The sequence below is a fragment of the Homo sapiens genome, chromosome 2 (genome assembly GCF_000001405.40).
Source record: "Homo sapiens chromosome 2, GRCh38.p14 Primary Assembly".
In the NCBI taxonomy this organism is placed as follows: domain Eukaryota; kingdom Metazoa; phylum Chordata; class Mammalia; order Primates; family Hominidae; genus Homo; species Homo sapiens.
The window spans coordinates 165,108,491-165,133,984 of NC_000002.12; the positions used below are offsets into that span (position 1 = coordinate 165,108,491).

The 25,494-nt window shown below is 35.0% G+C and overlaps 1 protein-coding gene across 13 annotated transcripts in view; it reads right to left on the minus strand.

Moving 5' to 3' along the window:
- Positions 1-25,494, minus strand: part of SCN3A (sodium voltage-gated channel alpha subunit 3) — a 116,525-nt gene that overhangs the window by 20,965 nt on the left and 70,066 nt on the right. For 10 of the 13 annotated variants that reach the window (NM_001081676.2, XM_017004662.3, XM_017004661.3 and 7 more), the window contains 6 exons: positions 22,754-22,927; positions 21,450-21,806; positions 19,141-19,611; positions 6,965-7,085; positions 5,326-5,480; positions 4,395-4,568 (listed from right to left, as the gene is read on the minus strand). In NM_001081676.2, coding sequence (NP_001075145.1) covers positions 4,395-4,568; positions 5,326-5,480; positions 6,965-7,085; positions 19,141-19,611; positions 21,450-21,806; positions 22,754-22,927 — 1,452 coding nt within the window. The other 3 variants (XM_017004666.2, XM_017004665.2, XM_017004664.2) reach the window with 1 other exon arrangement.

A 25,494-nucleotide genomic window follows, 5' to 3' on the forward strand; every position in this document is an offset into this window, starting at 1 on the left:
TACCTGTGAGCAATAAATACTTCATGATGGTTGAATCTTTTACTAGAGTTTGTTTTTCACACATTAGCATGTTAGGATGTTTTAGAATCAAACGAAGTTTTTATGAGAGATGCTCAGATGCATTTTCTCAGAGATGACTGCAAAAATTGATAAGGACCTCAAGAAATCTGATGTTTTCAATACGTTTTAAATAAATATTAATTAAATTATGTATTTACTTCATTGTGTGGTCAATAGCAGCATCTATAGTATAGTTTGTGTAGTTATAGGATGGTATAGTAAGGTATATTTTGTTTTTTAAAATGAACATAGTATCTTTTTGACCTTCACCTGAGAAGAAAAGAATTGTACAGAATCTGAAAAAGTGCTCCTTCTAGTGCAGTATTCTGGAAGGCAGAGGCATGAGTTAAGTTGCCCTTGATTCCATCCTGAAGTATCATACTTGCTGTCTCCATTTCTTCATCTTCATTATTTTCTGTCATCCACAACACCAATGACCTTCATTTTGCCAAATCCAAATGTCAATTTTATATACCAATATTGCTTGATTTTTGACTTTTTTTCACTGTAGCCTTTGATAAAATTGATCACCTCTCCTTTGGAAAAACCCAACTATCTTCTCTGGGTTTCTATGACACCATGCATATTTTGTTTTCCTTTTAATTACTACTTCTCAGTCTAATTTACTGGCTGGTTCTCCTTTGCCCAACTTCTAAATGTTATAGTGTCCCCAGAGTTTGGTTCTGGGTTGCCTTGTTTATTTGCAGTCTCTGCCTAGGTGAGCTAAAACAGGTTTGTAGCTTCAAATGCCATATACATCTCGATGAACCTTAAATTTATATACATAAGATTCTGGATTCTCTCCTGAGCTCTAGATCTATATAAAGTTCAGTACCTTGTTTTGAATGTCTAATAAACATCTCAAATGAATATATATCAAATGAATACATCTCTCTCCCACCCATCATCTACCTACCCTGCCAAATCTTTTTCTGATATTCCCCATCCCAGTTAATGGTTCTATCCTCTACCCATTTGTTCACGGTGAAAGAAAATCCATTTGTTGAATCCTCTCTTTTCTTCACTCCACATATCAAGCCTATCAGTAAGTCTCATCACCTTGGTCTAAAATCTCCACTTTCTTGCATTATTAAAACAACCTCCTAATTGATCTTTCTGCTTTTACTCTTTGCCTCCCCCTCTCCATAGCCAGATATGATCATTTTGTAACAGTAGGTCAGATCCCTGCTTATCCTGCTGCTGGGGCTTCTCATGGTCATTATAACTAATATATGATAGATTACATAATGTTAACATATATGATGTATAGTAAATTACAATAAAATACGAACTTCTTGCCATGGCCACTGTGTACTTTTTGAGTTCGGTTTCTACCACTCTCACTCATGTTTCATCACATACAAGTACGCCAGTTTCTTTCTATCTCTTTTATCTCCTTGGCTCATTCCCACTTCAAGCGCTTCTGCTTCTTCTCCTCTCTTCTCCCAGGTCTTCAAATGACTGGCACCCTCCCCCATGCACTCCCTTAGACACCCTCCTGGACACTAGCTGACACACTGCTCCTGCCCTCCCTCCGCTTCCCCAAACACGCAGTAATTTACCAGCCTAGTACTCTGTTTTATTTCATAGCAGTGATCTGCCTTTATCTTATCTTTAGATTTTACTTGTTTACACGTTTCCTGTCTGTTCCTCTCCTCCAATAGAGTGTAAGCTTAACAAGGCTAGGTCTGTTTTGTTCATTTCTCCTTTGTCTTGAATGGCATATGATCCTTTATAAGGTACTCAAAAATATTTATTGAATAAATGAATGAATTTTAGGAAATTACAAAGATATGTCACTATAAATCTAATTTTACTTTTAGACAGAGAATTGAAGAGGTTACATTTTTTACACAGACCTATTTCTCAAGTATGTGAATGTAGTTTTCGAAAGATACATTTGAAAGGAAGTTTATTTGGTGTTCTGTTTATTTTCTTGCTTCATTGATTGCTTCCTTTCTTTACCTTTCTGTGACTTTAATTTTGTTACAGTGATATACCCTATGAACTTTAAACTCTTTAAGTCCATTTTATTTGTACTTTCAAACACTGTTTTAACCTTATATTTACTTTAGCTTAGTGAATCCCCAGTACTCTGAGGACAAGCTGTTATCTGAGGTTGCATTAATTCATGTATTTAACCCCTGCTTTGGGAAAATTAAGAAAATAGACCCATTTAAGATACAGTAACTTGCCCAAAGGAGGAGGCTTTCAGTACCCAGTTCCAATCTGCTAATTTTGACTCACTAAAAGCAAAGTAATTTTGGGGCACCATTCGTTTGTCATTCATTGAAACATTACTCAATAGATGTCTAAATGTCTGTGTTAGGTGTACAAGGATAAAAACATGATGGAAAACCTCCAACCTCAAGAGATTTTTACATGATAATCATGTTTTCTATATAAGGGGAGTACATAGAAATACTCGAAGTACAATGCAGTAGTTCAGTAACTGTAAGTCAGAATTTTCTAGAAAACTTCTATCACATTTTAAAATAACCTTGCTGGGCACGGTGGCTCATGCCTGTAATCCCAGCACTTTGGGAGGCCAAGGTGGGTGGATCACCTGAGGTCAGGAGTTTGAGACCAGCCTGGCCAACATGGCAAAACCCTGTCTCTACTAAAAATACAAAAAATTAGCCAGGCATGGTGCGGGCACCTGTAATCCCAGCTACTCGAGAGGCTGAGGCAGGAGAATCACTTGAACCCCAGAGACGGAGGTTGCAGTGAGCCAAGATCGCACCATTGCACTCCAGCCTAGGCAAGAAGAGCGAAACTCCGTCTCAAAAATAAAAAAAGATCATAATCTTCATACATGATAAAAATCTTTTTGAACCAGAAAGGATCATTGAATGTATTTAGTGTTCCATCTTTGACAGAGAAGGTGGAGATTTTAAATGCTAAATCTCAAAGCCAGTCTGATGCCAGTCTGATACACACACACACACACACACACACACACACACACACACACACACACATTTACCTATTACAACTAATATATTTATAATGGATCAGTTAGGCAGAAAATCTATGAGGGAAAGGAGCACTGAATTGAGAATTAGTAAATTTGGACACGTATCAACTTTATTATTAAGAAGCTGTGTTATCTCCAAAAAATATTTAAACTGAGGCTTTAGTTTTCTCATGTCTTGAATAAACCCTAGATATTCCTTAAGGTCCACTCTAGCTGCGGAATGTGAAAATACTAAGTTTCCATTTGTGCATAGCTTTTCAGAGTTATGTTGAAATTCATCTCTATTATTAATGAAAGGCCAGCCAAGGAAATTGAAAGTCATTTCTGGTCTATTAAAAGTGACTTGACAGCAGATTTCTTATCAACTTAAAGGGTTAAACACATTTTGGTTATATAATTGTGAATATGTGTTTGTGGGAGGAAGAAGAGTAGAATCTGGATAGACCCAGACTCGTCAAAAATGAGAAAAAGAACGAGGCACACATATGGCAATCATTGATTCATATTGACAAGTGTTAGAGCTAAAAATAAGGAGCTTTGTGATTGCTAGGAAATGGCTAGAGATAGTATTTGAAGCACCTTGTTTTGTTAGGAGGCTGTGAAGCCTTGTGCAACGGAATATCACAGACTACAAGGAATCAGAGGACTGTCATGTTGTCCCAGTGCCTCTCCGTCACTTGCAATAAAAAAACAGGCTGCACGTCAGATAGATTCCATAATTGGCAATGTTCCTATGACTACTCACCCCAGGGTAATCAGATTCAGAACAGACCTACACCTAACTCTTTGCATGGTAAATACCTGATTAGCTATTGGGATCTAACTACTGATTTAAAAATGGAAATGCATTTTGTTGTGTCTGTGGGTATGTGGCTGTGGCTGAATGAAGTCAGTACATGGGTTAATTTCACAGTATTTAGTCACACGTACTCTAGGAAGGGATTAAAGTGCAGTTTACACACTTTCTGACCTTCAGTCATTTTTTATTTTGCTTCTTGGAGATGTTTGTTTGTTTTTTTAAACTGAACTGTTAATAAGCTAAGTGCTTACATCTGTCAATTAACATATTACTTATCTATTACTTACCTTGAGGCACTTAACTTTCAGAAAAATAAAAGCTGTCTATCTATGGTAAAGAACAATTCTCCCTGTGTTTGCTCTTACCACTGCCCATGTTTTTAGGACCTCCTCTACTCTTTCCCATGAGATATTCCTCATTGTTGCATATGTTACAGTTTTGTTTAAATAACTGCATAATTATGTCATTATTAGTGAAAGTTTTAATAACAGAAACATATGAAATGTCAAACTTGCCTCTTTTAAAAACAATTTTATAAAAATCACTTAAAATACTTACATCAACGATCAAGAAATCTAGCCAGCACCAGGCATTAGTGAAATATGTTTGAAATCCATAAGCAACCCATTTGAGAAGCATTTCCAGAATGAATATATAGGTAAAGACTTTGTCAGCATATTCTAGCATGGTTTTGATAGTCTTTCGCTGTTCAATGTATATATCTTCAAAGGCCTATGAATCAAAAATATTTTATTTTACTTAAATGGCTTGCTTCTTCTAAATATTTGAAAAAATTGCTTAGTATAATAGTGAGTACAAAACAATAATTTGATTATTGATATTTTACATAAACATTGAACATCAGACAAAATCTAAAGACTAAACTAAGTGTGAAAATGCTGGCAGGGAAACGTCATGCCTTTAGTGATTTAGAATGTGCTTTCTTTCCTACTTCTCACCCCTAAGTCTCTATCTCAATTACTGTTACAAAGACATGCTTTTAATGAAGTAATATGAACTCAGAAATAACTAGAAGTTCTGTTAATGAGGGACAGAATTGGCCTATTCAAACATTACTTTCTACAATTTCCTGAATGATCTGGCTTATTTTGAGAGAATAAGTTGATTATACATGAAAAAAAAACCTAAAATACACTTTTAGTCCATAAATGTTAATACAATTATTAGGGAGAACTGGATAGTATTTGACAGGGAAAGTAACGTGGTTACAGAATGTCTCTGCAAATGGTTGTCTCAGTGAGGAAAACATCTGTTAGATAAACACCAGATGAGAAATTCCATCTGGCTGTTTCATGGTGCTGATTTGTTCAGAACTGAATTTTGCATCGTTAAACCTTGGGTGCCAAGCTCTGCAAGACACAGATATGCCTTTTCTTTTGATTCTGAAGCTCAGTGTTTGCATCTGGTAATTTTGGAGAATAAACTATTTCACCAGAATCTGATTCTTGCCAATATGCATTTCACTTACCAATGCACCACTACTGAGAAGGATCATGAACACAATGAAAGTCTCAAACCAGTTGTGCTCAACAATACTGTAGCAGGTTTTTCGAAGATTCCACCAGATCTTCCCTTTGCCTTCTTCTGTACTTACTTGACAGAATGGAAACTTTTTAATACATCCTAAAAATCAAATATAGTTAATTAAAAAATATATTTTAATCTTAAATAGGAAAAAATAAACTTTCTTGCCCCTTCCCCACTCCACTTCCAGGTAATCATTTCATAGGGTAACCATCTCCTTCATTTCCTAGTTATCGTCAGCATCCCTCCTGTATAATGAATTATTCTCAGACTTATATACTCAGCCAGCTACTTAGAATTCAAGGAAATATTTTATCTAGATTTGCTTAAGTAACAATGGTTTCATTCTTCACCACCAGTCAGGATTATTTTGCCTCAAGGCCATTGATGAAAATAGTCCAGGTGCATCTCTCAGGTTTGAGGCAAAAACTACATGTTCGATTTGTTTATTCATATTTTGATGTGATCCTGGGTTTTTAATTCTTTTCATGCACACATGCACAGAAAATCTCGCTGTCTTCCCAGGCATCAGCCACTGTCAATTTTCCGAAGCTAATTTATTTTTCAGCCTCAGTGCTTCTCTTAGTCACACCTATGACTCAGCTCGTCAGTCAGTATCTCTTTCCCTTTGTCCTCCCCCTCCTAGCTTTCGCATTATTTCTAACTCCCATCCACTCTTCTGCTGTAAGTCTCTGAGCTACTACTCATCTGATTAAGTCCAGTCACATTGAATAATAGATATTCATTGATTTGTGTTCAAGACATTGTGCTGCTTTCTGTGAGAACAGCTATTGCTTTCCCTGCCAAAGCTTCACAATACAGTTACATCTCAAAACAGCTCTAGCCAAAGCACATTAACCACATTGGAACTGTAAGGGAGGGAATGTAATTACTGTAGCATCTATAAATCAAATCACACCATTGCCAAGGAGTTCTGAAGGGATTACAATATCAATGACATGACATTCTAGAATGCCATTTATCTCATAGGGTCAGCTTCCTCACATTATGGAGAATGAGAAAACAAAAAGACCTATCAGATCATTTTAACTGTCCAGGAATAGTCACTGCCATAAGTATAATCCAGAAATCTAGAGAGATTAACTTTTTAAAAGACAAAAAAGGAAAATAAAGATAAACATGCCTTCACTATTTATTTTAAATATTTTTCTTATTTAATTTAATTTATGTATTTATTTTGAGACAGGGTCTTGCTCTATTGCCCAGGCTGAAGTGCAGTGGCATAATCATGGCTCACTGTAGCCTCGACTCCCTGCAAAAGCTCTAAGATACAGCTGTGGCTGAGGTAGCAGCGACTACAGGCATGTACCACCATGTTGAGCTAATTTATTTTTTCTTTCTTTATTTTTTTTTTTGTAGAGGCAAAGCCTTACTACATTTCCCAGGGTGGTCTCAAACTCCTGGGGTCAAGCAATCCTCCTACCGTAGCCTCCCAAAATTTTGGGGTTACAGGCATAAGCCACCACACCTCGTTTCATAAATTTTTTTTTTTAAATGAGGCATATTCAGTCTCCGTAAAGAACAAGGGGAGATTGTATTTAATCACATCAGAGCTTGTTTACCTTCAGTAAAACAAGCTTCCGGTTTAAGGTCTTCTTCGGGTTCAGTTTCAGCTTGTTCACCTTCTCGGGGTAGAACAACATCAACTGTGCTTCCTTCAGATGAGCTGGTTGCATTTAATTTCTGGAAACAAAATCCCATTTCAAAGATGTGATTTTCCCCCTTTTATTTAACTAACTGGGAAATACTGTGTCATTGTGTGAAAAAAAAATAGTAGTGATAGCATTTAACTCTATTAGCATTACTGATCATTATGTACTAATAATTTAACATAAATCAAGTTGTACTATTCAAAATAACGTGACTACTGACCTGAATCAGACAAAAAAAGTTTAGACAACATTCAATGTGGGTGGTCTGGAATGGATGGATTATACTGATTAACTTGTTTAATGATCTGCATTTGTATATGAATGCCATATGAATATAACTTAATACATTGAGGCCAAACCAAGAATAGTTGGATAAAGTGGTATGCTGACATCTAGCCATGATTATGTTAATTAAAATACATCAAATCAAATTTTTAATTTCCACCTCTTCAGATGGAAATTTTCAAAGGGCAAAGAATATTACCAGTTGTTTCTAAGTATTGTCCATGTTTCTATAATTTTAGAAAGAAAGAGCAGCACATTAACATTAGTCACAGTCATATTTCAACTTTGAGCTCTATTTTTCTCTGGCTTACATAATTTTCTTCTTATTTTACTAGAAGAAAAATGATGGATCTCTCTCTTTTTTTGAACTGCATAACTGAATTCAATACTTGTCAAAGAATTCTAAATGAAATGGAAATTTCCTCATAAATGGCATTGTCCAGAATCTCTATAGACTTTCATTAGGAGCACATTCTGAATTCAATGTGTGATCCGGCTGTGAATACTTCCTTTAACTAAATCATTGTGACATGCCACATGGCTAGAAGAGCCACTGTAATATTACAAGAATAAATAATAAGTACTCTGAGATCACTTGGGAAGACAGGATTGTGCAAAGTTTTATGAAAACAGTTGCAAAGACATGACGCACAGCACAACCTAGATAATGTAAAGCTTTTAAGATGAAACAATAGTGCATGGACATGTTAATGATTTCAAAGCCCCCATTAACTTTGGTAGCTGAGTGTTAGGGTCACTCTGCCAAAGCCTTCTGAAAGAGTTACTGTGTTATTTTTAAAAAGGCCATAAACACAGTTCATGTTGGGGAAATTTGGCTCAAAATTCCTGATTTAATGAAGACGTAATGCAAATGTAGTTTAATATTTTACAATGTGAACTAATTAAAGGGTAGTATCCAGATGATACTTTCTGTGGTGTTACTTTAAAGTTGATATTAACCTGACATTAGCCATGTCCAAATATATATATTATGAAAATTACTTTAAGTCAAAATACAGTTTTTTAGTAGAGTACCTCCTAGGTTGGAGTATGGTAAATAGAGAAGCTAGGCCATCACTTTTGGCTGATAGTTCTTAGGGTCATGATAGCACAATTTTTTTTTTTTTTTTTTTTTTTACCATTAATTTCCTCTACATTATGGAGAGGTGGGAAAGCCAAGACATCTTCTCCTCTCCTAGGATTTTTCTGCTTCTTATAGCCAGGATATTTTTATTCATTTAAGAAAGACCTAGGAAAATTACTGCTGGGTAGAATTGTAGCAGCTTCTGGTGTAACTAAGAAAATACTGGATAATTGTTTGGTCTCAGCCACTTTTTCTTCCAATTTCACTGGTAGTTTATGGGTTAATTACTATGGCTTTTGATGAGTGACAGCTATTAATATCCACTTTATAAGTAATAACAATAAGAAACCAAAGTATTTGAGGTTAGTTATAGAAAGTTTCATGCTTTTTTGTCCTCTTGGCTAATCCAAACTTAATAACTTCTGAGCCTTATCATAGTAAACCTCAACTTCCTGTATGAAGCCATTCTTTCTTGCATGATTTTCTTCATGCTAAATTTTATAGAGCATTTAATCTATTATACTTGTTTCCTTTGACTAAATATTCTCATAAATATATGTACATATTTACATACATCTATATATACACACACGTATACCAACTACATACATATAGACACATATATATACCAAAAGATCCAGTGTATCACCAAGTATAGAATAGACACTGAATAGTTAAGTTGAGTTCATGAAGAGTGAATCGATGAATGTTTGAATACCTTTTAATGTCACTTTATAGAGAGAATTATAGTCTTTAGATAATTCTATCTCTCCATTTTGATATATAAGTCAAGTCTGGTCCTGAAAGAGTCTATGTAATTATATTAGAAAATGCATTGTCTTATTAAATAGGAATGATTTAATAAAAAATAATATGTTAATAATAAAAAAGTAATTATACATGTATACACACACAGGTACTTTTCCATTTGAAAACTTTAGAAAATATACTCACCCTTCACTTCCCATGTTACCACTGCTAATATAATTGTGAGATGTTTAATTTTTCACATTATAATTCTTCCATGTATTCTGCAGGTGTCTTATGTTTAATACAAATACATACATATTTAAAGCAAATCCTTTACAGCACAAGTCCTAATAACCACTAACCTGAATGACAACGGAATCAATCGTTTACACATATGGACCTCTGGTTGTATTTTTTTGTTATTGGGAAGGTCATTAGATTACATATATTTGTGAATGTGATTAACTTGTTTGGACATAAATAATCTCTAATAGCTCTGGAGGTTATGTATTTATACATCTTAAGATAGAGAGGGACAGTGATCACAGTTCACCTCTCTCCTCCTGGCATTATGAGGCACAACATATCTTTTGACAATGGACAAGGAAAAAACCCTGCCACCATTCTGCTATTGTCCAAGGAGTAGAACCCATTTCATGGAGAATTGCTTTACAGTTATTACAGAGATTTTCTGATTATAAAGATAATCTTCCAGGCTCTAGAAAGCCCCTCAAGGAATGCTCAGAGGGAATCTTGGCAAAGCTTTTGCAAGCTCCCAGGACTCTTATGAACCAAAGCTTAGAAGACGGTAGATTAGTTTGCATTTCACTAAAAAGTGTTTTATGGGAGGCTTCCTTATCTATGAAGGTTGACATAAAGTCAGTTTTCCCAAGTTGAAGAATCTGCCTCAGTCATGATTTAATCTTTTTTTTTTCCCCCTTGGGACAGGGTCTCATTCTGTGGCCCAGACTGGAGTGCTGTGGCATGATCATGGCTCACTGTATCCTCAACATCCCAGACGCAACTGATTCTCCCATCTCAGCCTCCCAAGTAGCTGGGGCTGTAGGTGCATGCCACCGTGCCTGGCTAACTTTTATATTTATTTATTTATTTTTTTGAGACGGAGTCTCGCTCTGTCACCCAGGCTGGAGTGCAGTGGCGCAGTCTCGGCTCACTGCAAGCTCCGCTTCCTGGGTTCACACAATTCTCCTGCCTCAGCCTCTCTAGTAGCTGGGACTACAGGCGCCCGCCACCATGATTGGCTAATTTTTTGTATTTTTAGTAGAGACGGGGTTTCACCATGTTAGCCAGGATGGTCTTGATCTCCTGACTTCGTGATCAGCCTGCCTCGGCCTCCCAAAGTGCTGGGATTACAGGCGTGAGCCACCGTGCCTGGCCCACCTGGATGATTTTTAAATTTTTTGTAGAGATAGGGTTTTGCCATATTGCCCAGGCTGGTCTCAAACTCCTGGGCTCAAGTGATTCATCCACCTTGGCCTCCCAAAGTGTTGGGATTATAGGCATGAGCCACTGCATCTGGCCAATTTAATCTTCTTAGTCAGAAATGCTACTACATTATTTTTTAATGCCCTAGGTCACATATTTATCATAGGAAAGTACCTATGTTTTAATTGTATGAAGTTATGAAAATATTGTATCAAATTTCTAAAGTTATGCATTTACCTACATTTATAAATTAAATTGTGAATCACCTTCTTATTAAATTACATCAGCTTACGAATTATGATCTACTACCTGATATGCTTTAGTCACTGGATACATAAAGAACTTTACTGCTGTATTTTTTAAATCACTAATGTACACCCTGAAAAACTATATAAGCATTTTAAATTGTATACATTTATATGATACATATCTATACTATATGCATAATTCTATACACTGATATAATCTAAATAATCTAAACATTTTCTAAATAAGTTCAACACTTTGGCATTCACATTCTAGTCAAGGGTGGTTTGTGATACATCTTATTATAGCCATAACCAAAATGACCTTCAAATTTATTTAAAAGCATATAACTGATTTAAAAGCAAGTGACCAATAAATATAAAGAATAACTTACTTTCTTTATATTGCCATAGCTGTGATACTACAATGATATAAAAAAGCAAAGAAACCTGAAATTAAATTTACCATATTAAGAAACTAGATGACTATACTAAATAACTAAATTCATACTTGTCCTGAAGTAGTTAGAAAAATATAATTGGGAATATAGGCATAATAATAGAAAGCTTCCATATAAAACCACATAGTACAAGTTCAAACTTGTTTTCTTGTACTATTTTCTCCCTACTCCTCCAATATTTTATGGCACTTAAAGGTTAAATTTTTCCATCCCTTGTAGAAACGAGTGGGTCTACAGAGGGATGATGGCTTATGCTCTACAAATGCACGCTGAAAAGCAGGTTTTAAGATGCAACATTCTCCAGGCCTAATTCAGCCGCAGAAAACATGCCTGGCTGTAGCAGAAGCCCGGCGCAATGCTGTGGAAGCCGCACGCTGATCCAAGAACCATGTCCTCAAAGACATGGTACCTGAATATGAAGTTTTCAAGAAGGTTAACTACAAATACCACTCACAGGAATGGGTTATTTCAACATAAGAAACAATAGAGTTAACACCCAAAAAAGGCCACGAGACCATTCCCCGCCGCCCAATAGAGTGACCTTATATAGAAATTCCCCCATATGACAAATATTGCTCTTGATTTTTATCCAATTAAATAATGAAATTTAACTTTCAGAGATAGAAGAGAATGTTAGCAACTGGCCTACTTCCACTGAAATGCGCTCACATTTCATTTATTTTCAATCAGCTATCAAATATTTGACTCTCACAAACTGCTGTATGATTCAAGAGGCAAAATAAAAGATTCAGCCATTACAGATTGCCTTTAAAATCTAGCCATTTCTCTAAAAAGTTGTGGATTTTTGTCTTGCTAGTAGAAGAGGAAAGTTTTGGTCATACACACTATCAGGGCCTTAGTCTGATCTTTTGGATATGCATAACCATATCTTGACTTATGATATTTCACCTGAAAAACAAGACAGCCACACAGTGAAGCCATTGGGTTGCTTGTCCTAGGCGGGAAGGAAAAGGCCAGTAGCTCTTTTTTTTTTTTTTTTCACGATCACTTATCGAAAGATTAAAAATATGAACCACCACCATCTGGTTTGCCTGGACATATATTAAATGTACAACATCCCCGGAGCTTCTTTTATTTTTAAAATAGCCTGAATAAGAACATGGTATGTGAAACTGAAAATAATTACGTTGTAGTTGAAGAGTAGGGTAAAAGAGCATCAAAAAGGAAAAAGAAAAAGGCCATTTGTTTTCAGAAAGGATACAAAAGTATTCGTCTGAACCAGCTTTAATTTTTTTTTTTTTCAGCAGAAGTACACTAAAGCACCAAGACCATCTTTAAAGGTTGAGATGGGTTTAAAATGGCTATTCACACACCCATCTGCTCCTCTCAAAAATTATCTCACATTCAATTTCACAAAGAGCATTTGGAAGACACTGGCCATGTAACAGAGAAACTGAAAGCTAGAGTCATTATTCCATTGCTTTCCAAATTCCAAAAATAGCACAAAGTCATGTCCAGAAGGGCATGTGCTCCGGACCTTAGTCAAACATCTACTTTCAAAGTTTCCATAAAGACTCTGAAAAGGAGGGAATCCTGTTATAAACACAGTGTAAATAATAATATGGCAGTACCATTTAATTCTATTCTGCTGGTGAAGAAAAAAGAAAAAGAAATCAGATTTTCTTCAATGACTAATAATGTTGTTTTATTCTAAATCTAAAAATTTGGTGCTGAATAAAAATTGCATAAATCACCATGGACTGTATCTTTGTTACTATTTTCCATTGATAATTTTATTTCTCATTTTTTTTGCATTCTGCAACTAATTCTCAGTTATCCCTAAGGAAAATAAGACTATGCATAAATTAAACCTAGAGACAACCCCAAACTAATTAGATATTCCTTGTCACCAGAAGCCTTGAAAACTGCCCAATATTTATGAACTCTTTACATTTCCTTCAAAATTTCCCTCCCAGAACCCGCACTCTGGCTGAGATTCCAGTAAGCAATGGAGAAAGTTGAGTGAACAGAATAAAATAAAAGCTCATTACGCCACAAATCTACAATAATCTTGGGAGATTCCCTTTACTCCTCACAAAACTAAAATTAATAATTAATAACTGAAAATAGTAAATTTTCCAAGTCTCTTTTTTGCCTGGTCAGTTTTGGATAGAACATTTAGGGAGAAATTAACATAAATCATTGACATTTCAAATAACAAATGGGTACACTAGGCCAATTACTTAATGATCAAGATATAATGAATTTTCATCCCATATATCATGATGTTTCCTTTTTTAAGTTACAATGATCACTATGGTTTTGCAGACATAACTTTTCCCAACCTACATGAAAATCCAAGATATGTGTTGCCCAAATGCATACAGACTATGGCCCTTCATCTCCAAACCTCAGGATCACCCTATTCTTTTTTTTTTCTTTTTTCTTTCTTTCTTTTTTTTCTTTTTTTTTTTTTTTACAGAACCTTTCCCCCAAAACATGAAAGCAAACATTTTCATCTGGAGCACATGAATTGGATAGGCTGAAAATTATATTCATAGATCTGAATATAATGATCTGAAAGTGGCAGTACTATCAGAAAAAAACCCTGTGAGGCTTATTTTGGTAATACAATTTACTTATAAAGGCTGAATCAACAATAAAAAGTTGTGGTCTTATTTTAATGAAATAAAAGCAGAGAAACAAAAAAATGCATGCCCTCCTACATCCCTGACTATATTGAACCATAAACATTCCTATCATGTTTTAAAATAGATATTACAAATCCTATAGAGCATGCAATTGGTTTTAAAAGGCTAAAGACTAAATTAGAAAACTCATTAGCAGAATTAAATATGATGTTGGGATTGCCCATCTCGCCTGACCATGCTGTGATGTGTCACACGATTCAGCAGAGAGCAGCTGGGCAAGTCTAGCACTTCCTTGCCATGGCAGGGGAAGGAACATAGCTGAGTAGCATGCAGGCCAGTCAAAATTCATTTAGAACGTGATTGTACATGTACAACTTGCTTGGATAACCTGGGTAAAAGTGGTGGCACGAGCCTCTGGCTGGTTAAAAAACACCAGAGCTGCATTCTTGATGGCTCCAGCTTGATTTTACTCCTGTGAGAAGTAAGAATGGTAAGCAGTGAAGGTCACAGTATGATATTGCTAGATTGTGTTTGGAATTCAACTTCAAATATGATTGTTAAAAGCATTTATTCTATATCCTTCACTTAGGAAGACAAACCAATAATCTTTTAAGAATTAAATTGCAAAAATTCATAGTTATATAAGTATTTCAAGAAATTATGATTATGAGAACTTAAAAAATATAAAAACAAACAAATTCTACATTAGAGCTCCTCAAAAAGATTCGCATAATTCCAAGTTTTTGCAAGATTAAAAAAATCACTATTTTGAAATCCATGCCTTCAATTTCCTGAACTTTTTTCATGCAAAAGTTTATATTTGCTTCCATACCAGCCTATTTATGTTAGTGGTATTCATATATACAGATGTAATATATATACACACATATATAACATATATAACAGCAATTCCCATGTTTATCTCTAAAAACTTCTAGGGATCATTTCTCTTTAGCTGCGATAGTCAGGTATCCTTTATTATGAAAATGAACAGAGGAAATACAGTAACTAGAGTTTCCAAATACCATCTAAATTAATGATTAATTTACTGTCTCCTCTTCAAGCAGACATTTCATGCAAGTTTTTTAGTGAAAAATGTATAACTCTGGTGGGTTTAACTTATGTGAGTGCTCACTTTATTAGCAAAGAGGAAGGATATTCTGTGCTCTGCAAAGTAGAGTTCAATGTTCTCTTGCTACTTGTGTCAAAAACCTAAGAAACATGAACCAAAATGTCACTTTATGGATATGTTATTTTAAATGTGTTCGTGTGTGTGATAGCTATTAAAAGGGAATAACCCAGCCAATATAAGTGTGCACCTGAAGTATGCTAGCAGCTTTTGGAAATTTCAAATCAAAAATGCACTTTGCTAGAACTCATTTAATCTGCTCTATGATATTAGAACATGCTGGTATTGGCTTTTTATTTTAAAAACTGTCTGCATTTTATCTTGTGTGTGAGCATATATGAGAGTTCCCTATTACTTTTTTGGTGGGTTTTTAAAGTATTCATTTTACCAAATCATTCATATAAAATTTATTGTTGAATTTAATATTACTGTGCAAGATAATTTGAAATTTTATTCTAGCTTTATAAAAATATATACCTTTATATTTGTTTAGTGATTTTCCCACTAACATATTTATATATTTTAAATAATTTCTTTACATTTTGTAATTGAAATCTATGTATTCAAAATTTAGCTTGAAAGAGGAGGATAAAGTAGTTATTTAAATCACCCCATAAGACATTTTTGTTCAGGTAAGAAATGTTTTCCAGGTACATAACAAAGGAGAGATTTATATCTTGTTACTCTAAATTTATTATGTTTAAGCCATTAAAAAGGCATGATAATTAGCAGTCATTTGAAATATCGGTGGTCATTATGAAATTTTAAAAATACTTTGGAAACCAACTGTTCGGTAGGAGGAAATTAAGATATTTACTTTCCATAAATCTGATGTCAAAAAATTCTATCGTATTAATCTAGAAAAAGTTTTTCTATCTTTTAGCTTTTCTACCTCTTTTGACCCTAAGTTTTTATGCTACTTTGTCTCTAGTTTTCTCTTTTTTCTTTCACTTTATAATTACTTATTTGATGAGCTCCTCCATTTTCAGGGAATCAGGTAATTATAAAATCTGCATTATCAAACATTATACCTTATTTTTAAACCCTGACCTCTAACTCAGACTCTGTTTCCCAACACTGACACTTCTAATTCAGTATATCCCAATTGAACTCCTTTTCCAACATAAACTGGGTAGCCCTTTTTAAAGACCATTTCAGAAAGTGGCATTGCTGTTTTTCCATTTTCCCAGGTTCTTTAGTAGGTTTGTCAAGTTGCCAATGAGTCTCAATTCTCATTACTTATTGCCCTAGCTGAGAATTTTATCACCTCATTGCTACCGAATGATTATCACCATATTCCCCAAGATAACCTTTCTTATCTTTCACTCTAAACTGTTTTACTCTTTGATATCAAATAAATGTTCTTAAAATACCACTTTCCAATTGCCTTCCCCTGCTTCAGAACAGAAAATAGCTCCCTATTAACTCCAAACTCTTTGGCTTACTTTAAAACTTTATAATCTGAAACTACCTCACACATTCAAACATATTTTCCACTATATATTCAACCAACACTTACCTCATGTAGATTATCACTGCATGATAATCTGCAATGATAACCCTAAACTGTCTTTAATACCAAGCTCACTGTCAGCTCCACCTTTCCTTTAGTAAGCTTCAGCATTTTGCTTTCTGATAATGTATATTTGACCCAAACTTTGAGGTCTATTTCAATTTTATCTCTTCCATTTAGCAATTATTCTTGCTCTCCTCAATACCTATAGCCTCACATGCAACCTGACAGGATTAAACTTTTTTTTTTTTTGAGATGGAGTCTTGCTCTGTTGCTCAGGCTGGAGTGCAGTGGCGCAATCTCCGCTCACTGCAAGCTCCGCCTACCGGGTTCACACCATTCTCCCGCCTCAGCCTCCCGAGTAGCTGGGACTACAGGTGCCCGCCACCGCACCCAGCGAATTTTTTTGTATTTATTTATTTATTTTTTAGTAGAGACAGGGTTTCACCGTACTAGCTAGGATGGTCTCGATCTCCTGACCTCGTGATCCACTCGCCTCGGCCTCCCAAAGTGCTGGGATTACAGACGTGAGCTACCGCACCCAGCCAGGATTAAAGTTTTTAATAGGTCTTTAATAATTTCATGAGTTCATGTTAGCTTACTCAAATATGTCAAGATTTCCTTGAAGGAGAGTTTTGTTATAGAGCTCTCCTTCACCCCTAGTATCCAGCAGATTGCTGAATTCACAAAAAGTGCTCAGTAAGTTCTTGTTAATTGACTGGTATTTCTTCTTACATAAATTCATGCCAGGTGATGGGAAATAAAATTAGAGTTGAATTCTTAGTTTGTCAGAATGAGCAACATAAATTAGAGTTGAACTCACTTAGCAGACTTTAAATGGAATTCAGAGAAAAAATATCACTACTTAATTTTGTATGTATTTTACCTTTTTCAAAATATTTTCCAACTTATTATTATACTATCTTTCAGCAACTCTAAAATACCTGAAAATAGTCAGGAAGCTATGAGTTGTAAGATTGTCAGCTACCTATTATAGGGATTTCAGATCAAGTTTTGTTGATACACTTATTTAAAAAAAAGAGTTCCAAAATATGCTCACGAAATCAGACATTGTTGGTTTGGTTCCCACTGTGTCAACATTATACCCTCAAGCCAAAACCTGTCTTTGATAACTCCATCTGTGCTAGACTTACTTTGTACTCATATGTATTAAACGTCTATAAATAAATAATAGTAAAGAATTTTAATCCTCTTTTCCACAACACAGGATTGAAGAATTAATAACATTACTACTATGATAGAAACTTAAGAATACTAATCATGCAGTAGGAACAATTTCCTTCCTTCCTTGCTTCCTTCCTTCTTTCCTTCCCTCCTTCCCTTTCTTCTTTCTTTCTTCCCTTCCTTCCTTTCTTTCTCTTTTTCTTTTCTTTCTCTTTCTTTATTTCTTCCTTCTTTTCTTTCTTTCTTTCCTTCTTTTTTTCTCTTTCCCTTTTTTCTTTATTTCCTTCTTTCTTTCTCTTTCCCTTTCTTTCCCCTTCCTTCCTCCCTCCCTCCCTCCCTCCCTTCGTTCCTTCCTTCCTTCATTCCTTCCGTCCTTCCTCCCTCTTCTCCTTTCCCTCCCTTCCTCCCTCCCTCCCTTCCTTCCTTCTTTTTTCTCTTTCCTAGTAACACAACAGTAAGAGTAGGTTTATTAACCTACAAAATAACTATAGCCCTCAAGTGAAGCTTTTAAAAGTAGTTCTTAGTATTTTCAAGTTACTCTGGAAGACTATAGATCTGCTCATCCTTGACTGGGCAAAATATAATAAGTACTACTTGTACTTTCCTAATGTGTATAACACTTTCATAAATGAAACACTATCATAGTGAATAAGACTTTCAGAGGTTAACAAAAGTACATAAAGTTTTCACATAAAAATCATAGCAAAACCTAATATAGAGAGTAAGGAGATGACGAAAATAAGTTATTTTTTAAAGAACATAATGTAGTTGAGAGTGTAATGTACTAAATAACATCTCTTTTTTGGAAGGCTACTTTTTTTTGAGATAGGGTCTTGCTTTGTCACTCAGGGTTGAGTAGAATGATGTGATCGTGGCTCACTGCAGCCTCTACCTACTGGGCTTAAGCAATCCTCCCACCTCAGCCTCCTTTGTAGCTGGGACTACAGGCATGTGCCACCATGCCCAGTGAATTTTCGTATTTTTTTTTGTAGAGAGGAGATTTTGCCATCTTGCCCAGGCTGGCCTCGAACTCCTGGGCTCAAGTGATCTGCCTCCTTGGCCTCCCAAAGTGCTGGGATTACAGGCATGAGCCACCATGCCCAGCCTAAAAGGCCACATTTTTTAACCACATTTTCAAATGATCAAGAAAATGAATATACTAAAGACTCAGAATGGTTTAATTTCCTGTGAAAAATTGGAATTTTTAGAAATCCATTTCCCAATAAAGAGTATCTTGTGATTTTCCAACATCACTATAGACATATGACTTTCAATATTGCTTTTTGATAATGCATATAAGCACAATGAAAATAGTAAATAACTGTAGTACATGGTTATCATAGGAAATGGAACAAAAAATTTAAAAGCATTCTTACCTCTTTGCTTTCTTCTAGTTCTGACTCACTGCTGAACTCTTCAGTATTTAAGTTTTCAAAGTCAGACTCTCCAACAGCAATTGGCACTGTGACGGTGAGGCTGGGGTTGTTTATGAATGACATATAATCATTTTCATCGATTACGTATTTTTCAACACTGCTTCCAGTACCTACACCACTGGTGGTTCCATTCCCATCTCTAAGATAATTAAGCTCTTTGCTTATTTCAATTCCAGTATTATTGGACATGCAGCTGTCTATCTTATTGCCTTCATGGATTTCTATAACTTTTGGCTTTCTAAAAAAGGCTTTTTGGAAACACTCCCGCATCTTATTTTTCACATAATCAATTCCCTTTTGCATTCTTCCTACTGCAATCTGCAGATTATTCATTTCATTGTCATCATCAGTAGCAGCAAGGTTGTCTGAGCTAAATGAACTCAACAATAAGGCCAGAAAGAGGTTCAGAACCTAAAAGAAAAAAAGAAAAATGTCTATTTTAATATTGAAATATGCATTTAAATAACAGCCTAAAAAGGGAACTCATAGATCTTTGCTAAAATTATTTCAACAAATGTTTATTGAATGCTTACTATATTTCAGATGCCATGTCTAAGTCACACACTCTTTAAAGGACCTAATATCCTGCTCTAAGGGCAAAATGATAAAACAAGCACCTCTTCTTTTTTTCCTATTGGGAGGGACAATAGGAAAGCAGAGCTTCTAAGATTTAAATGGTGTCTACTCAGGTTTGCCAGTGCAAAGACAAAATCCTACCCTCAAGGATTCTGCCAACGAGAGAGAGAGAGAGAGAGAGAGAAAGATACTTTCTTCTTAATCATTTTATCTTACTTCATCTTACCATTTTTTTTCCTAGGGAATTTCTAGCTTCGTGTATATAAAGAATGAACTTATTTATTTAATAGCCTGATGATATGTTCCAAATGATATACTTGAAATACAAATTCCTTTGGCCCAATGGCCACAAACTTTTATAACAGCAGAAATTTCTAAGTGCAAATTATATACGATTTAACACGTTTCCCATCAAATACACTTTGAAATTTATATGTTCAAATAGCTCAACAGATGGAGAGAAATCTAAAAGTATACCAGGGTTTAGGCTAGACCCACATAAGTTACTTTTCTTTTTCTTTCTTTCTTTGTGTGTATGTGTGTGTGTGTGTGTAGAAAGTATGAGGCGATTTTAACTTTCAGAATATCATGGGATATGTGAAAAAGTTACTCAGCCAACTGATAAGTTATGGTTAATGCAGGAATAATTCATTATTTCTGATGTAAAAGAAAATTTATAATAATATTTTTAGCCTGAAATGTAGTTAGTTATTGAGTTTCAGAATATGTTACACTATAGGAAGACATGCAAGGCAAAAGCCCCAGTTTGCTTCCTTACTTCTGTATCAGATTTTTTCAGAATCTAGAGCTCCCTAATTTACTATTCTGGAGAAAAAAATTACATGTTCGTAGGTATCCCAGTAGCATTCTTTTGAACAAGTTTATCTGAAATGTATCCCTCAAAGGAAAGGCCCAATATGATGGCATAAAGAAATGCTTTGCCCACGCATGACTGAGAAATTTAAGCATTAAACATATAAATATATAAACTATGCTTTTGCATTAGTGATTTTAAGTCACAGTTAAAAGTAACTCCTTTGAGTCTGGACAATGTCCATACATATGAATAATTTAAACTGTAATAATTGGTTTTCCTATAGTAATGCAAATTCAGGGAAGAAAACATTTTGTCCTCTTCCAAGTTACTTGGATAATTACAATGCATAGCTAAAATATAATGGTCTACTTCATTGAAATGTGTCTTCAAAATTTGGTACTATGCAACCTATGTCTCTAAGTAAGCAAACTACATGAACTATGAACATGCAAAGAGCAATTTGATTATAGAATAGATAGTTGTCTTTTTAGATTTAGTAGAGGTCATTTTCTTATCAAAACAATATTAGGATACAATTCTTCTTAGTGATAAAAATTTACTTTCTTTGAAGAAGAAAGGAAAATCTAATATTTATGCCCCCAGGCATTCATAAATACATCTGATTTAATCTTTGCATTAAAGATATGATTTCAGTTTTATTATTCCAATGTCATAAAAAATGGGAAACCAGAGCCCAGGAGAAGTTAAATAACTTGCTTATTCTCTGAGTGCTAATAGGGGGATTTCAGTCTAGGCCACTTACTATAAACCAGAGATATGTTTACTACATCTGGCCACGTTCCTAGCTACTGTCTGCTCTTGTTCTAATTTATGAGCATTTGTACTACATACATACCACAAGGTTTCCAATGACCATGACCAACATGAAAACAATAAGGCACATGGTTTGGCCAGCGACCTCCATACAGTCCCACATGGTCTCTATCCACTCTCCACACAGCACGCGGAACACAATCAGGAAGGAGTGGAAGAAGTCGTTCATGTGCCACCGTGGGAGCGTACAGTCATCATTGATCTTGCAGACACATTCTTTGTAGCTCTTACCAAAGAGCTGCATGCCGACCACAGCAAAAATGAAGACGATGATGGCCAACACCAAGGTGAGGTTTCCTAGAGCCCCCACAGAATTGCCAATGATCTTAATTAGCATATTTAGTGTGGGCCAGGATTTTGCCAACTTGAAAACTCTAAGCTGTAATCAAGTGAAAAGATGCTGTTAGTAGTAATCATAATATAATTTTAGACATTATTTTATTAGTATGTGGTATCATAGAACCACACGTGGTAGATGTAAAAACTCAAAATATACTGAACTGATTCAATTTCAAATCCAGAAAAAATAGTGTTAACAATATTAGAATTGTAAATCTGGTCATAATATCATTTAAGTGCAAAAATAAAAATAAAACATTTCAGAAATAATAAATAAAACATTTCTGATTCATCCAAAGATATGCCCATGTAAACAAATGGTATTTTGATTAGAGACTTTTTAAATTAGCAAATAAATGTTATCTTCAGATTCTATTTTAGACAGTAAAAAGAAATATTAAAAGTATAAATCATAGATTTTTATAGGCCAATATAAAAGTAAAATAACCTAAATAATGTGATAAAAATGTACAGGAAAAAAATTGAAAAAATACACATTTTGCTTAATTTTCAATAAATTTTACATATTTCTCAATAAAATTTTGTGATAATTCAAAAAGTTTTTTATACAATTATTTAAGATACTAATAACATCAAATATTTTCCCACATGTTGCTTTAAAACAGTCCCCATTCCTAGAAGTAGGGTTAATAAAAAGCTAAAATTAACTGGGGTCTAAATTTTTATTTGCGTATCTTTACAGACTGTAAGGCCAAAAAAGCTTCATAAACTTAAAACACAGTTTTAGAAAGTACTTGTAGGTTTTCTAATGTGCCCTACATACCTAATCATTATAGAGTATTTTGAATGCTTTCATCATTCTTAGAAAATGGTTTAGCTTTAAAGAGGATGTTTACATGTTTTCTTAGAATGTCACATATTGATGTAAATTTAAAATTAAAATTAATAATTATATAAATATACATTGATTCAATTTCAAAATAAATGTTGTGCCAATGAGCGACAGGGATATATATAAATAGATACCAGTCTGAATGATCGCAGTACAGACAATCCCTCCACATTTGACAGACCAAGCTCCATTAAACTGAGGCTGACAATAATTCCATCAAAGATATTCCAGCCTTCTTGGAAATAGTAATAAGGATCCATGGCAATGATCTTGAGAACCATTTCTGCTGTGAAAATCCCAGTAAAGACCTAAAAAATAGAGATCAGCACTACTTCAAGAGCACTGAAAAACACTGATGCTACACGAATTTATAAAGAAGAACATTAACAGGAATAAAAATATCTAAAATTTAAAGTGAGAGAATGTGACAAATCAATTCAAGTCTTAGTTTTTTTATTTTCATTTTTTATTTTTATTTATTTTTATTTATTTTATTTTATTATTATTATACTTTAAGTTTGAGGGTACATGTGTACAATGTGCAGGTTAGTTACATATGTATACCTGTGCCATGCTGGTGTGCTGCACCCATTAACTCGTCATTTAGCATTAGGTATATCTCCTAATGCTATCCCTCCCCCCTCCCCCGACCCCACAACAGTCCCCAGAGTGTGATGTTCCCCTTCCTGTGTCCATGTGTTCTCATTATTCAATTCCCACTTATGAGTGAGAACATGTGGTGTTTGGTTTTTTGTCTTTGTGATAGTTTACTGAGAATGATGATTTCCAATTTCATCCATGTTCCTCCAAAGGACATGAACTCATCATTTTTTATGGCTGCATAGTATTCCATGGTGTATATGTGCCACATTTTCTTAATCCAGTCTATCATTGTTGGACATTTGGGTTGGTTCCAAGTAATTGCTTCAAAGAGAATAAAATACCTAGGAGTCCAACTTACAAGGGACGTGAAGGACCTCTTCAAGGAGAACTACAAACCACTGCTCAATGAAATAAAAGAGGATACAAACAAATGGAAGAACATTCGATGTTCATGGGTAGGAAGAATCAATATCGTGAAAATGGCCATACTGCCCAAGGTAATTTATAGATTCAATGGCATCCCCATCAAGCTACCAATGACTTTCTTCACAGAATTGGAAAAAACTACTTTAAAGTTCATATGGAACCAAAAAAGAGCCTGCATCGCCCAGTCAATCCTAAGCCAAAAGAACAAAGCTGGAGGCATCACACTACCTGACTTCAAACTATACTACAAGGCTACAGTAACCAAAACAGCATGGTACTTGTACCAAAACAGAGATATAGATCAATGGAACAGAACAGAGCCCTCAGAAATAATGCCACGTATCTACAACTGTCTAATCTTTGACAAATCTGAGAAAAACAAGCAATGGGAAAAGGATTCCCTATTTAATAAATGGTGCTGGGAAAACTGGCTAGCCATATGTAGAAAGCTGAAACTGGATCCCTTCCTTACACCTTATACAAAAATTAATTCAAGATGGATTAAAGACTTAAAAGTTAGACCTAAAGCCATAAAAACCCTAGAAGAAAACCTAGGCATTACCATTCAGGACATAGGCATGGGCAAGGACTTCACGTCTAAAACACCAAAAGCAATGGCGACAAAAGCCAAAATTGACAAATGGGATCTAATTAAACTAAAGAGCTTCTGCACAGCAAAAGATACTACCGTCAGAGTGAACAGGCAACCTACAAAATGGGAGGAAATTTTCGCAACCTACTCATCTGACAAAGGGCTAATATCCAGAATCTACAATGAACTCAAACAAATTTACAAGAAAAAAACAAACAACCCCATCAACAAGTGGGTGAAAGACATGAACAGACACTTCTCAAAAGAAGACATTTATGCAGCCAAAAAACACATGAAAAAATGCTCACCATCACTGGCCATCAGAGAAATGCAAATCAAAACCACAATGAGATACCATCTCACACCAGTTAGAATGGCAATCATTAAAAAGTTAGGAAACAACAGGTGCTGGAGAGGATGTGGAGAAATAGGAACACTTTTACACTGTTTGTGGGACTGTAAACTAGTTCAACCAATGTGGAAGTCAGTGTGGCGATTCCTCAGGGATCTAGAACTAGAAATACCATTTGACCCAGCCATCCCATTACTGGGTATATACCCAAAGGACTATAAATCATGCTGCTATAAAGACACATGCACACGTATGTTTATTTTCATTTTTTATTTTTATTATTTTTTTTTGAGACAGAGTCTCCCTCTGTTGCCCAGATTGGAGTAGAGTGGCGCGATCTTGGCTCACTGCTTCAAGTGATTCTCCAGTCTCAGCCTCCCAGGTAGCTGGGATTACAGGCATGGGCTACCTACCATGCCCAGCTAATTTTTCTAATTTCTGTAGAGACAGGGTTTCACATCACGTTGGCCAGGCCAGTTTCGAACTCCTGACCTCAAGTGATCTGCCCGCCTCAGCCTCCCAAAGTACTGGGATTACAAGCATGAGCCAACACACCCAGCCATGTCTAGCTTTTTTTTTTTTTTCCTCTAGGAGAGTATTTTATTAAGTAGAGTGGTATTATTTAATGAATCTTCTGGATTTCCAAGAAAAACACTAATTTTAAAACATTTCATGGTCTACATTTTAACTCTGGTATTGAATAATAGCTACTGAATTATTGCCCTTGTTGGTACACTACATTTCTAACATAATCACAACCAAATTTATTTCTGGGTAGTATCGCATCAGGAACAAATCCACATATTACTGAAAGTTATTAAAAATTGATTTCGTAAAAACCATATTTTGTTTTTGATTTTGTGTTTTTTAAGGGACACCATCTTATTTCTATAATTTTATAA